The 13,688-nt window shown below is 40.2% G+C and overlaps 3 annotated features.

The window, feature by feature from the left end:
- Positions 8,965–9,281: a silencer, noted in NCBI's record as "fragment chrX:76749652-76749968 (GRCh37/hg19 assembly coordinates)". NCBI's record gives its function as "represses an EF-1alpha promoter that drives an FKBP-Casp9 reporter gene in an ReSE screen in HepG2 liver carcinoma cells {active_cell/tissue: HepG2}" and the evidence as "EXISTENCE:reporter gene assay evidence [ECO:0000049][PMID:32094911]".
- Positions 8,965–9,553: a biological region, named in NCBI's record as "NANOG-H3K27ac-H3K4me1 hESC enhancer GRCh37_chrX:76749658-76750240".
- Positions 8,971–9,553: an enhancer, noted in NCBI's record as "NANOG-H3K27ac-H3K4me1 hESC enhancer chrX:76749658-76750240 (GRCh37/hg19 assembly coordinates)". NCBI's record gives its function as "activates a minimal SCP1, AML or CMV promoter by ChIP-STARR-seq in primed H9 embryonic stem cells {active_cell/tissue: H9 hESC(primed)}" and the evidence as "EXISTENCE:reporter gene assay evidence [ECO:0000049][PMID:30033119]".

Below are 13,688 nucleotides of genomic sequence, written 5' to 3' on the forward strand. Positions count from 1 at the left end.
ATCTCCAAGAAATAATAATAAGAAAAAGAAACCAATGTTAAGATAATCATTCAAAACCATACAATTACATGGCAAGTAAACAACCTGATCCTGAATGACTTTTGGGTAAATAGTGAAATTAAGGCAGAAATCAAGAAATTATTTGAAACCAGTGAGAACAAAGCTACATTATACCAGAATCTCTGGGGATGCTGCTAAAGCAGTGCTACGAGGTAAGTTCAAGGCAATGAATGACCATGTCAAAAAGTTAAAAAGATCTCAAATTAACAACCTAACATCACAATTAGAGGAACAAGAGAAACAAGAGCAAATCAACCTTAAGGCTAGCAGAAAACAAGACATAACAAAAATGAGAGCTGAACTGAAGTAAATTGAGACAGAAAAAAACATACAAAAAAATGGACCCAGGAGCTGGTTCTTTGAAAGAACAAATAAGATAGATAGACCACTAGCTAAAGTAATAAAGAAAAAAAGATATATAGAAGATCCAAAAAACACAATCAGTAATGATGAAGGAGATATTACCAGTGACCTCACAGAAGAAACTATTATGAACATCTATATGCACACCATCTAGAAAACCCATAAGAAATTGATAAATTCCTAGAAACATACAACCTCTTCAGATTGAACCAGGAAGAGATTGAATTCTTGAACAGAGCAATAATGAGTGCTGAAATTGATTTAGTAATGAAAAGCCTACCAACCAGAAAAAGCCCAGGACCAGATAGATTCACAGCTGAATTCTACCAGACGTATAAGGAAGAACTGATACAATTCCTACTGAAACTATTCCAAAAAATGGACACAGAGTGTATTAGGCCATTCTCCCATTGCTATAAAGAAGTATTGGGGACCGAGTAATTTATAAAGAAAAATGTTTAGTTGGCTCATGGTTCTGCAAGATGTACAGGAAACATAGTGGCATCTGCTTCTGAGGAGGCCTCAGGAAGCTTCCAATCATGGCAGAAGGGGAACAGGGAGCAGGCATGTCACATGGTGAAAGCAGGAGGAAGAGAGAGAGGGAAGAGGTGGCACACACTTTTAAATGACCAGATCTCATGAGAACTCACTCACTACAATGAGGACAACACCAAGAGGATAGTGCTAAACTATTCATGAGAAATTCACCCTAATGATCCAGTTACCTCTCACCAGGCCCCATCTCCAACACTGGGGATTACCTTTCAACATGATATTTGGGCAGGGATACACCTCTAAGATATATCACCTAGGGACTCCCTAACTCATTATGTGAGGCCAGCATCATCCTGATATGAAAACCTGGCAGAGACACAACAAAAAAAGAAAACTTCAGGTCAATATCCTTGATAAACATAGATGCAAAAATACTTGACAAAATACTAGCAAACTGAATCCAGTAGCACATTAAAAAGCTAATCTACCACAAGGGTCAGGTGCAGTGGCTCATGCCTGTAATCCCAGCACTTTGGGAAGCTGAGGCAGGTGGATCACTTGAGGTTAGGAGTTCGAGACCAGCCTGGCCAAAATGGTGAAACCCTGTCTCTACTAAAAATACAAAATAAGCTGGGCATGGTGGCACGTGCCTGTATTCACAGCTATTCAGGAGGCTGAGGCAGGAGAACTATTTGAACCCAAGAGGTGGAGGATGCAGTGAGCCAAGGTCTCGCCGCTGCATTCCAGCCTGGGTGACAAAGTGACACTCTGTCCAAAAAAAAAAAAAAAAAAAAACGCAAAAAAAAACACATGATCACCTCAATAGATGCAGAAAAGACTTTCAATAAAATTCAACATTACTTCATGTTAAAAACCCTCAACAAACTAGGCATTGAAGGAGCATACCTCAAAAAAAGAGCCATCTATGAAAAACCCACAGCCAACTCATACTGAATGGGCACAGGCTGGAAGCATTCCCCTAGAAAACCAGCATAAGACAAGGATGCCCTCTCTCACCACTCCTATTCAACATAGTTCTGGAAGTTCTCATCAGAGCAATCGGGCAACAGAAAGAAATAAAATGCATCCAAATAGGAAGAGAGGAAGTCAAACTATTCCTGTTTGCAGACAATGTAATTCTATACCTACAAAACACCACAGTCTCTTCCCAAAAGCTCCTTGATCTGATAAACAACTTCAACAAAGTTTCATGATACAAAATCAATGTACAAAAATCAGTAGCATTCCTACACCCTAACAATATTCAATCTGAGAGCCAAATCAAGAATGCAATCCCACTCAGAATAGTCACAAAAAAGAATAAAATACCTAGGAATACAGCTAACCAGGGAGGTGAAACATCTCTACAATGAGAACTCCAAAAGACTGCTCAAAGAAATCAGAGATGACACAAACAAATGGAAAAACTTTCCATGCTCATGGATAGGAAGAATCAATATTATTAAAATGGCCATACTGCACAAAGCAATTTATACCTTCAATGCTATTCCTATCAAACTACCAATGAAATTCTTCACAGAATTAGCTATTTTAAAATTCATATGGAACAAAAAAGAACCCAAATAGCCAAGGCAATCCTAAGCTAAAAGAACAAAGCTGGAGGTATTACATTACCTGACTTCAAACTATACTACAGGGCTACAGTAACCAAAACAGCATGGTACTGGTACAAAACAGGCACATAGACCAGTGGAACAGAATAGAGAGCCTAGGAGTAATGTTGCACACCCACAACCATCTGATCTTCAAGAAAGCTGACAAAAACAAGCAATGGGGAAAAGGCTCCTTACTCAATAAATGGTGGTGGGATAACTGGCTAGCCATATGCAGAAGATTGAAACTGGACCCCTTCCTTACACGATATACAAAAATCAACTCAAGATGGATTAAATACTTAAATATAAAACCTAAAATCATAAAAACCCTGGAAGATAACATATGAAATACCATTCTGGACATAGGACCTGGCAAAAATTTCATGAAGAAGATGCCAAACGCAAGTGCAACAAAAACAAAGATTGATAAAAGGGTCCTAATTAAACTAAAGAGCTTCTGCATAGCAAGAAAAGGTAAGTTGTTTCCTTAGAAGAAACTATCAACAGAGTAAACAGATAACCTACAGGATAAGAGAAAATATTTGCAAACTATACATCTAAAAAAGGTCTAATGTCCAGAATCTATAAGGAACATAAACAAATTTAGAAGCAAAAAACAACCCCATTAAAAAGTGGGCAAAGGACAAGAACAGACACTTTTCAAAAGAAGACCTATATGTGGCCAGCAAGCATATGGAAAAAAAGGCTGAACATCACTAATCATTAGAGAAATGCAAATCAAAACCACAAGGATATACCATCTCACATCTGTCAGAATGCCTATTATTAAAAAGTCAAAAAGACCAGGTGTGGTGGCTCACTCCTGTAATCTCAGCACTTTGGGAAGCCAAGGTGGAAGGACCCCTTGAGCCCAGGAGTTGGAGACCAGCCTGGGCAACATGGCAAGACCCCATCTCTACAAAAAATAAATTAGCTGGGCATGGTAGCACATTCCTGTAGTCCCAGCTACTTGAGAGGCTGAGGTCATAGGATCACATGAGCCCAGGAGGTTGAGGCTGCAGTGAGCCATGATTGTGCCACTGCACTCTGGCCTGGGCAACAGCGTGAGACTCTGTCTCAAAAGAAAAAATTTCAAAAAATAATAGTTGCTGGCAAGGTTGTGGAGAAAAGAGAATGCTTATACACTGCTGGTGGGAATGTAAATTCATTCGGCCATCAGGGAAAGCAGTTTAGAAATTTCTCAAATAACTTAAAATGGAATTAACCATTCAACCCAGCAATCCTACAATTGGGTATACACTCAAAGGAATATAAATTGTTCTATCAGAATGATACAGGTATGTGTATGTTCATTGCACTATTCACAATAGCAAAGACATGGAGCCAACTTAAATGCCATTGTTGGTAGACAGGATTTTAAAAATGTAGTATGTATACACAATGGAATATGATGCAGCCACAAAAAAAAGAATGAGATCATGTCCTTTGCTGCAACATGGATGGAGCTTGAGGCTAATATCCTAAGCAAACTAACACAAGAACAGAAAACCAAATACCACATGTTCTCACTTGTAAGTGGGAGCTAAACTTTGAGTACATATGGACATAAAGAAGGAAACAATAGCCACTGGGGCCTATTTGAGAGTGGAGGGTGAGAGGACGGTGAGAATCGAAACACTACCTATTGGGTACTATGCTTATTACCTGGGTAATAAAATAATCTGTACAACAAATCCCCATGACATGCAATTTACCTATACAATAAACCTGTATGTGCACCCCAGAACCTAAAATAAAATTAAAAAATAATATATAAATAGAGTTGAACTTAAAAAAACTGAACTTGATAGACTTAGACTGAGTACCATAATCATGGAATTTATTCAATTTACTGTTTGGGTGGTCTCTATAAGGGCATATCAACATGAGGTGGAATGAAACCAAGGCATAAGAATCACTTCTGTCTGATGTGGTCAGTTGTCCCATATATAATTGTTAGACTTTGTTTGAACTTTCTGTCTCAAGTTCCCAGAGAGTTATGAGGGAGGCCAAAAAGTACCATATTTAAATTAAGAATCTAGGAAGAAGCTCTTGATGTGATGCTCAGGATACTGACACTGCAACTTCTGGTTGTTTGTCTTGTTTTGTTTTCATTTCTCCTAGTACTTTGAATTATTCCATTTTTAATATATCAATATTTCATCCATCAGATTTTATTTTGATGCAAATTATTAGGTAGAAATTCAATTTTTATTTTTCTTTCTTCATAGAAATTTCTTATTAACTTAAAATGACATATTCAAAATACACCAAATTCCTGTATGTGCTTGTGTCTATTTTAAAATTTTTTATTGCATTTAATTGATCCCTCTATTCATGCACTAGTATAATACTTTTAAATTACTGAGCCTTCAGAATTTTTTTTTTTTTTTGAGAGGGAGTCTCACTCTGTCACCCAGGCTGGAGTGCAGTGGTGCGATCTCAGCTCACTGCAAGCTCCACCACCTGGGTTCACGCCATTCTCCTCCCTCAGCCTCCCGAGTAGCTGGGACTACAGGTGCCCGCCACCACGCCTGGCTAATTTTTTTGTGGTTTTTTTTTTTTTTTTTTTTTTTTTAGTAGAGACGGGGTTTCACTGTGTTAGCCAGGATGGTCTCGATCTCCTGACCTCATGATCAGCCTGCCTCGGCCTCCCAAAGTGCTGGGATTACAGGCGTGAGCCACCGTGCCAGCCCAGAATTTTAATGTCTATAACAGTTAGTTACCTCTCATTGCTATTATTTCTAAAGGTTGTCTGGATGCCTTTTTAATTTTTACATTTTTTCACATGACATGTAGAATCAATGTATCTTATCCCAAATAAAATCCCATTGGTATCTGGGGAGAAGAATTCTAGAAAATAAAGATAAGCAAAAAGAAGAAAACAAAAAACACTGTATCTTCACTTCTTATCATCTTCAACATCCTGGCATATATCTTTGCAGACTTTTTTCTACTTATCTAATAACATTTTCATGTGTGTGTGTGTGTACAGCAGGGAGGCTAGACAAGTACTTTTGCTAAGCTTTTGAGCTTTGTCTCTTGTGGTAGCTAGAGTTAATTGCCCCAATACACATGCTTTCCTGATTTTCCTTGACCCTACACCACTAGAGATCAGATACACCTTCCCTGTAGCAGCAACTAGATATAGGGACCCAAACTCGTGAGAGACCTAGGCTCTCCATCTGTCCATAAGAAAGCTGAGACATCCCTGAGGTTCTGGTTCTATGAACTCCCACTTTCTGGTTCCTGTGTGTAGAATGCAGATACCTTTTCTCTGACTGCCTTACATCTATTCTCCCCTTGCTCCTTGAAGGGTGGTGCCTGGGCCAACAGCATCAACATCACCTGGGAACTTTTAGAAATGCACATTCTTGGGCCTTACACCAGACCTACTAAATCAGAATCTAAAGTTTAATACGCTTCTCACGTGACTCCTCCATACATTAATTTTTGAGAAACACTGGACTAGGTGATCTCTAAGGGCCTTTTGTATTCAAAAATGAAATTTTCTCTAAATGTTCTTGAACTCTAGAAATTTCAATAACTTTTCCATTAAAAGTTTTACTTTGCTTCAGGCCATTCCATTTTATGCAATACATTGAGATTTGTAGGTGAATAGGCCCTATGCCTTCCATGCAATTCCAGTGCACTCTGCTCAAACTTCAAACATTTTTATACCCAAACTCAGCAGCCAGAGGATGAGGCCAGGGAAAATACTGAGTATCTCTGGTCCTAAGTGATAGGGGAATCCACTTTGAGTAGACAATGTCAAACAATTTCTTCTCAGAAGAATGTGGGCCATGCAATCAGGGAACAAGTTCCCACCAGCAGGCACAAACGGACAGCTTCTGTAGGATATTTCTACTTGTGGGTTCCATACATCATCCTAAGTCAGTGATGAGAAACTTCTATCAAGGATCACTCACCCACTGACATAAATTATAGTTAGTAAATGAAGGGGCTCTTGAGTATAATGCTTTTTTTCATTGCAATAAGCTACATTACTTATTTATTTTTAAAAACCATGAACATTAAATGTAAGACTTTATTCCATGAAGATAATAGGTAATTACAAGGTGTACTTCAGTTCTTTGTTATGACCAATTAAGAAATAGGGACAGAAGTAAGGAAGAGAGAAGGGGAAGAAGAAAGACAAAGAGCCCACGCAAAAAAGACAGAAACAGGCATACATATATATACAAGGACAAAGAATCTGACTCTGATGGTATTGATGTTGCCATAATGTTCTCATGTAGGATATGACTGGTAAGCCATTCAGTCACAAATTTATCAAACATTTATACCATACTTTTTCTGTGTCAGATGCTGAAGATATTAAAGTGAGCAAAAAAAGGGCTCTTGCACTTAAGGAGTTTACATATCTAGCAGGGGAGCAAGACATTAATCAAGTAATCACACAAATAACCATTTATATTAGTTTCCTATTGCTGCTGTAACAAATCACCACTAACATAGTGGCTTAAAACAATGCCCATTTACTGTCTTACCATTCTGTAGGGTAGAGTTATGACATGGACAGAGCTAAAGTCAACATGTCAGCAGAACTGTGTTCCTTTTTGGAGGCTCTAGATGAGGATTTTTTTCCTTGCCCTTTCCAGCTTCTAGAGGCCACTCACATTCCTTGCCCATGGTCCTCTTCCTCTTCAAAACCAACAATGTTGAAACTCTCTGAGCCTTTCTTTCCTAATCACATCTTCCTGTTACTCTCCTACCTCCCTGATATGGTGTGAATTTGAGTCCCTGCCCAAATCTCATGTCCAATTGTAATCCCCCATGTTGGAGGAGGGGCCTGGTGGAGGGGATTAGATGGTCGGGGTGAATTTTCCCCTTGCTGTTCTCATGATAGTGAGTTCTCAGGATATCTCGTTGTTTAAAAGTGTGTAGCACCGTCCCCACCCATTAACTCTCTTCCTCCTCCTACTCCTGTCCATGTTAACATGTTGCCTGCTTCCCTTTTGCCTTCCACTATGATTGAAAGTTTCCTGAGGTCTCCCCAGCCATGCTTCCTGTACAGCATGCTGATCTGTGAGCCAATTAAACCTCTTTTCTTTATAAATTTTCTTTATGAATTATACTATATTATAAAGAAAAACCCAGTTTCAGGTTTTTCTTTACAGCAGTGGGAGAACGGACTAATACACTCCCTTTTCCACTTTTAAGGATCCTTGTGATCACATTGGACCCATCTAGATAATCCAGGAGAATCTCTCCCATTGCAAGTTCAGTTAATTAGCAACCTTAATTATCATTTGCCATATAAGGTAACATATTCACAGGTGCTGGGTATTAGGACTTAGACATCTTTGGGAGACTATTATTCTGCCTACCACACCATTTAAATGCATTACAGAAACCATTGGCTTAAATGGGACTATAATCTTTGTGCACAAGTGTAGAGCATGGGATTTTCTGGAACTATCCTATTCTGAGTTATGTTCTTTGCTGCCTACTTGTGTTTGTATTTGCTGTTTCCTCTGCCTGAGATGCCCTCCTCCTTAACCTCTACATGTCCATATTCTAGTTATATTTTAAGGCCTTGCTCAAATGTTGCCTAAATTTTATGAGGTGGAACAATGAACAATAAACTTAGTTCAGAATACTTCAACCTTTAGGGTTCTCAATTGGTGACTAATTGAATTTGTGTGGAAGCCACTGCATTAAAAATGAGTTTTACTATATTAAAACATATTTTAAAGTATTCAGACTGGGGTTTTCAGACACTTCTGTTTGGATCACAGAACAAAATGGAAGAAAAAAGCAGAACCCTCTAGCACTACTGAAGAGAGACAGAAGGAAGTACCTTGAAAACATCAAGAAGGGAATGTAATAGTCTGTTCTCACACTGCTATAAAGGCCATAAATAAATATCTGAGTCTGGGTAATTTAAAAAGAAAAGAGTTTTAATTGGCTTACAGTTCTGCAAGCTCAGGATGCTTCCAATCATGGCAGAAGGCAAAGAGGGAGCAGGTGTCTCACATGGCAGGAGCAGGAGCAGGAGCAAGAGAAGGTGGGGAGGTGCTACACACTTTTAAATGACTAGATCTCATGAGAACTCACTATCATGAGAACAGCACAAAGGGGATGGTGCTAAACTATTCATGAGAAATCCACAGGGGGCAAGGCCAAGATGGCCAACTAGAAACAGAGGCGATCAGAGGCGCTCATCGAAAAGAACCATAATTAGCGTGTGAATCCTTCACAGGTAACCAAGGTATCCAGGTTCTCTCATCGGAACTGACTAGGCAGCTGATGTGATTCATGGAGAGAAAGGAAGAGCAGTGTGGTGCAGCGGTCCACCTGAGAGCCACACGGGGCAGGGGAGCCCCCACCCCCCAGCCAAGGGAGGTGTTGAGTGCGCTACCCAGGCGGGGAAACCGTGGTTTTTCCATGGAACTGTGGAACCCATGGATCAGAAGATCCCATTCGTGAACCCACGCCACTGGGGCCCAGAGTCCCAACCCCTGAGTCACGCAGATTCTCAACAGCCTCTCAGCTGGAATCTGCTTAAGCCTGCAGAGCTCCCAGGGGGAGGGGCGACAAGCACCACAGCTGCGACTGCCTGCTATGTAAGCCATTTGAGCTCCTTGTGGGAGGGGCAGCAGCCAGCACTGCGACTCATAACTGCCTAACACGCTAAGCTCCCTGGGTGGGGGAAGGGAGGCTTCCATCTCTATAGCTCCAGGCCACGCTTTTCCCCTGCTGGAGCCAGGGAGACTGGATGGCTTGGTCCCAAGAGGTTTCCCCCATAGCCCAACACACTGGCAGTGGCAGACTGCGGCCAGAGCGCCTCTTCAGTCCTGACCCTGAGCCATCCTTCCTCACTAGGTGGGACTTCCCTGCAGGAACTCCAACAACTCCAGCCAGAGGCTCAAGGACAGAACCTGGATCTCCCTGGGCCTGAGCCCCTAGTGGGAGGGGTGGCCATAGTCTCTGTAGACCAGCAGACTTAGCCTTTCCTCCTGGTAGTTCTGAGGAATCCAGCCAGCCCAGATGAGTGGGTTTACCCTCATCAAAGCATGCCCCCTCCACCGAGGAACAGTCAAAGTGCTTCGTTAAATTGGTCCTGTTCCCTGAGCCACCCAACTGGGTTAGACCCTCCAACAGGGGTTGTCAGATACTCTATACAGGAGCGATCCTACTGGCATCAGGTTGGTTCCCCTGAAGGTTAGAGGTCCCAGAAGAAGAAAGAGGCACCCATCTTTACTGTTCTCCAGCCTCCTTGAGAGACATCTCCAGGCATGGGAGCAAACCAGATGAATAGGACGTGAACCCACAGCAAGCCATAGCAGCCCTACAAAAGAGGTATCTGACCATCAAAAGAAAAACAAACAGAAAGCAACAACAACAGCATCATCAACAACAAAAAAATTCTCCACAAAAACCCCATCCAAGGGTCAACAGCCTCAGAGATCGAAACTAGACAAACTCATGAAGATGAGAAAGAATCAACAAAAACATGCTGTAAACCCAAAAGGCCAGAGTGCCTCTTCTCCTCCAAATGATTGCGCCTCTCCAGGAAGGGTGCAGAACTGGATGGAGGAAGAGATGGATGAATTGACAGAAGTAGGCTTCAGAAGATGGGTAACAAAAACTCCGCTGAGCTAAGGGAGCATGTTCTAACCCAATGCAAAGAAGCTAAGAACCTTATTAAAAGGTTAGAGGAGCTGCTAAGTAGAATAACCAGTTTAGAGAGGAACATAAGTGAGCTGATGGAGCTGAAAAACACTGTACAAGAACTTTGTGAAGCATACACAAATATCAATAGCTAAATCGACCAAGTGGAAGAAAGGATATCAGAGTTTGAAGACAACTTTGCTGAAATAAGGCATGCAGACAAGATTAGAGAAAAAAAGAATAAAAAGGAATGAACAAAGCCTCCAAGAAATATGGGACTTCATAAAAAGACTGAACATAAAATTGATTGGAGTACCTGAAGGAGACAAGGAGAATGGAAACAAGCTGGAAAACACACTTCAAGATATTATCTAGGAGAACTTCCCCAACCTAGCAAGACAAGCCAACATTCAAATTCAGGAAATACAGAGAACACTACTAAGATATTCCATGAGAAGATCAACCCCAAGACACATAATCATTAGATTCTCCAAGGTAGAAATGAAGGAAAAAGTGTTAAGGGCAGCCAGAGAGAAAGGTCAGGTAACCTACAAAGGGAAGCCCATTAGACTAACAGCAAACCTCTCAGCATAAACTCTACAAGCCAGAAGAGAGTTGGGGCCAATATTCAACATTCTTAAAGAAAAGAATTTTCAAACCAGAATTTCATATCCAGCCAAACTAAGCTTCATAAGCAAAGGAGAAATAAATTCCTTTACAGACAAGCAAATGCTGAGGAATTTCATTACCACCACACCTGCCTTGTAAGAGCTTCTGAAAGAAGCACTAAATATGGAAATGAAAAAACTGGCAGGGCACGGTGGCTCACGCCTGTAATCCCAGCACTTTGGGAGGGCAAGGCAGGTGGATCACGAGGTCAGGAGATCGAGACCATCCTGGCTAACATGGTGAAACTCCATCTCTACTAAAAATACAAAAAAAATTAGCCAGGCGTGGTGGCAGGTGCCTGTAGTCCCAGCTACTCGGGAGGCTGAGGCAGGAGAATGGCATGAACCCGGGAGGTGGAGCTTGCAGTGAGCCGAGATCGCGCCACTGCACTCCAGCCTGGGTAACAGAGCGAGACTCCGTCTCAAAAAAAAAAAGAAAAAGAAAAACAGGTAACAGCCACTGCAAAAACACACCAAAATATAAAGACCAATTACATCATGAAAAACTCCATCAACTAGTGTGCAAAATAACCAGATAGCATCATGATGACAGGATCAAATTCTCATATAACAATACTAACCTTAAATGTAAATGGGCCAAATGCCCCAATTAAAAGACACAGACTGGCAAATTGGACAGAGTCAAGACCCATTGGTGTGCTGTATTCAGGAGACCCATCTCACGTGCAAAGACACACATAGGCTCAAAATAAAGGGATGGAGAAAAATTTACCAAGCAAATGGAAAGCAAAAAACAACAAGGATTGCCATCCTAGTCTCTGACAAAACAAACTTTAAACCAATAAAAATCAAAAAAGACCAGGGCTTACATACTGGTAAAGGGAATAATTCAACAAGAAGAGCTAACTATTCTAAATATATATGCACCCAATACAGGAGCACCCAGATTCATAAAACAAGTTCTTAGAGATCTACAGAGACTTAGACTCCCATACAATAATAGTAGGAGACTTTAACACCCCACTGTCGATATTAGACATGTTGACAAGGCACAAAATTAACAAGGATATTCAGGACTTGAACTCAGCTCTGGATCAAGTGGACCTAATAGACAGCTACAGAATTCTCCACCCCAAATCAACAGAATATGCATTTTTCTCACCACCACGTGGCACTTATTCTAAAATCAACAACATAATTGGAAGTAAAACACTCCTCAGCAAATGCAAAAGAACAGAAATCATAACAAACAGTCTCTCACACCACAGTACAATTAAATTAGAACTCAGGATTAAGAAACTCACTCAAAACCACACAATTACATGGAAATTGAACAGCCTGCTCCTGAATGACTCCTGGGTAAATAATGAAATTAAGGCAGAAATCAAAAAGTTCTTTGAAACAAATGAGAACCAAAAGACAATGTACCAGAACCTCTCGGACATACCTAAAGCAGAGTTAAGAGGGAAATTTATAGGACTAAATATCAGAAAGCTATATATTTTTTATATATTTATAGGACTAAATATCAGAAAGCTATATATTTTTTATATATTTATAGGACTAAATATCAGAAAGCTATATATCAGAAAGCATATATCAGAAAGCTAGAAAGATCTCAACACACTAACATCACAAATAAAAGAGCTAGAGAGGCAAAAGCAAACTCATCCAAAAGCTAACAGAAGACAAGAAATAACTAAGATCAGAACAGAATAGAAGGAGACAGAGACATGAAAAACCCTCCAGAAAATCAATGAATCTGGGAGTTGGTTTTCTGAAAAAATTAACAAAATAAATAGGCTGCTAGCTAGACTAATAAGAAAAGAGAGAAGAATCAAATAGACACAATAAAAAATGATAAAGTGGATATCATCACTGACCCCAAAGAAATACACACTACCATCAGAGAACACTATAAACACCTCTATGCAAATAAACTAGAAAATCTAGAAGAAATGGATAAATTCCTGGACACATACACCCTCCCAACACTAAACCAGGAAGAAGTCAAATCCCTGAATAGACCAATAACAAATTCTGAAATTGAGGCAGTAATTAATAGCCTAGCAACAAAAAAAGCCAGGACCAGACAGATTCAGATCTGAATTCTACCACAGGTACAAAGAGGAGCTGGTACCATTACTTCTGAAACCATTCCAAACAATTGAAAAGGAGTCACTCCTCCCTAACTCATTTTATGAAGCCAGCATCATCCTGATACCAAAACCGGGCAGAGACTCAACCAAAAAGAAAACTTCAGGCCAGTATCCCTGATGAACATCAATGTGAAAATCCTAAATAAAATACTGGCAAATCAAATCCAGCAGCACATCAAAAAACTTATCTTCCACGATCAAGTTGGCTTTATCCCTGGGATGCAGGGGTTGTTCAACATACACAAATCAATAAATGTGATCCCTCAGATAAACAGAACCAAAGACAAATACCACATGATTATCTCAATAGATGCAGAAAAGGCCTTTGATAAAATTCAACATCCCTTCATGTTAAAAACTCTCAATAAACTAGGTGTTAATGGAACATATCTCAAAATAGTAAGAGCTTATTCATGACAAACCCACAGCCAATATCATATTGAATGGGCAAAAGCTGGAAGCATTCCCTTTGAAAACTGGTGCAAGACAAGGATGCCCTCTCTCACCATTCCTATTCAACGTAGTATTGGAAGTTCTGACCAGGGCAATCAGGCATGAGAAAGAAATAAAGTGTATTCACATAGGAAGAGAGGAAGTCAAATTGTCTCTGTTTGTAGATGACATGATTGTATATTTAGAAAACCCCATCATCTCAGCCCAATAACTCCTTAAGCTGATAAGCAACTTCAGCAGTCTCAGGTTACAAAATCAATGTGCAAAAATCACAA

The sequence above is a fragment of the Homo sapiens genome, chromosome X (assembly GCF_000001405.40).
Source record: "Homo sapiens chromosome X, GRCh38.p14 Primary Assembly".
Lineage (NCBI taxonomy): Eukaryota > Metazoa > Chordata > Mammalia > Primates > Hominidae > Homo > Homo sapiens.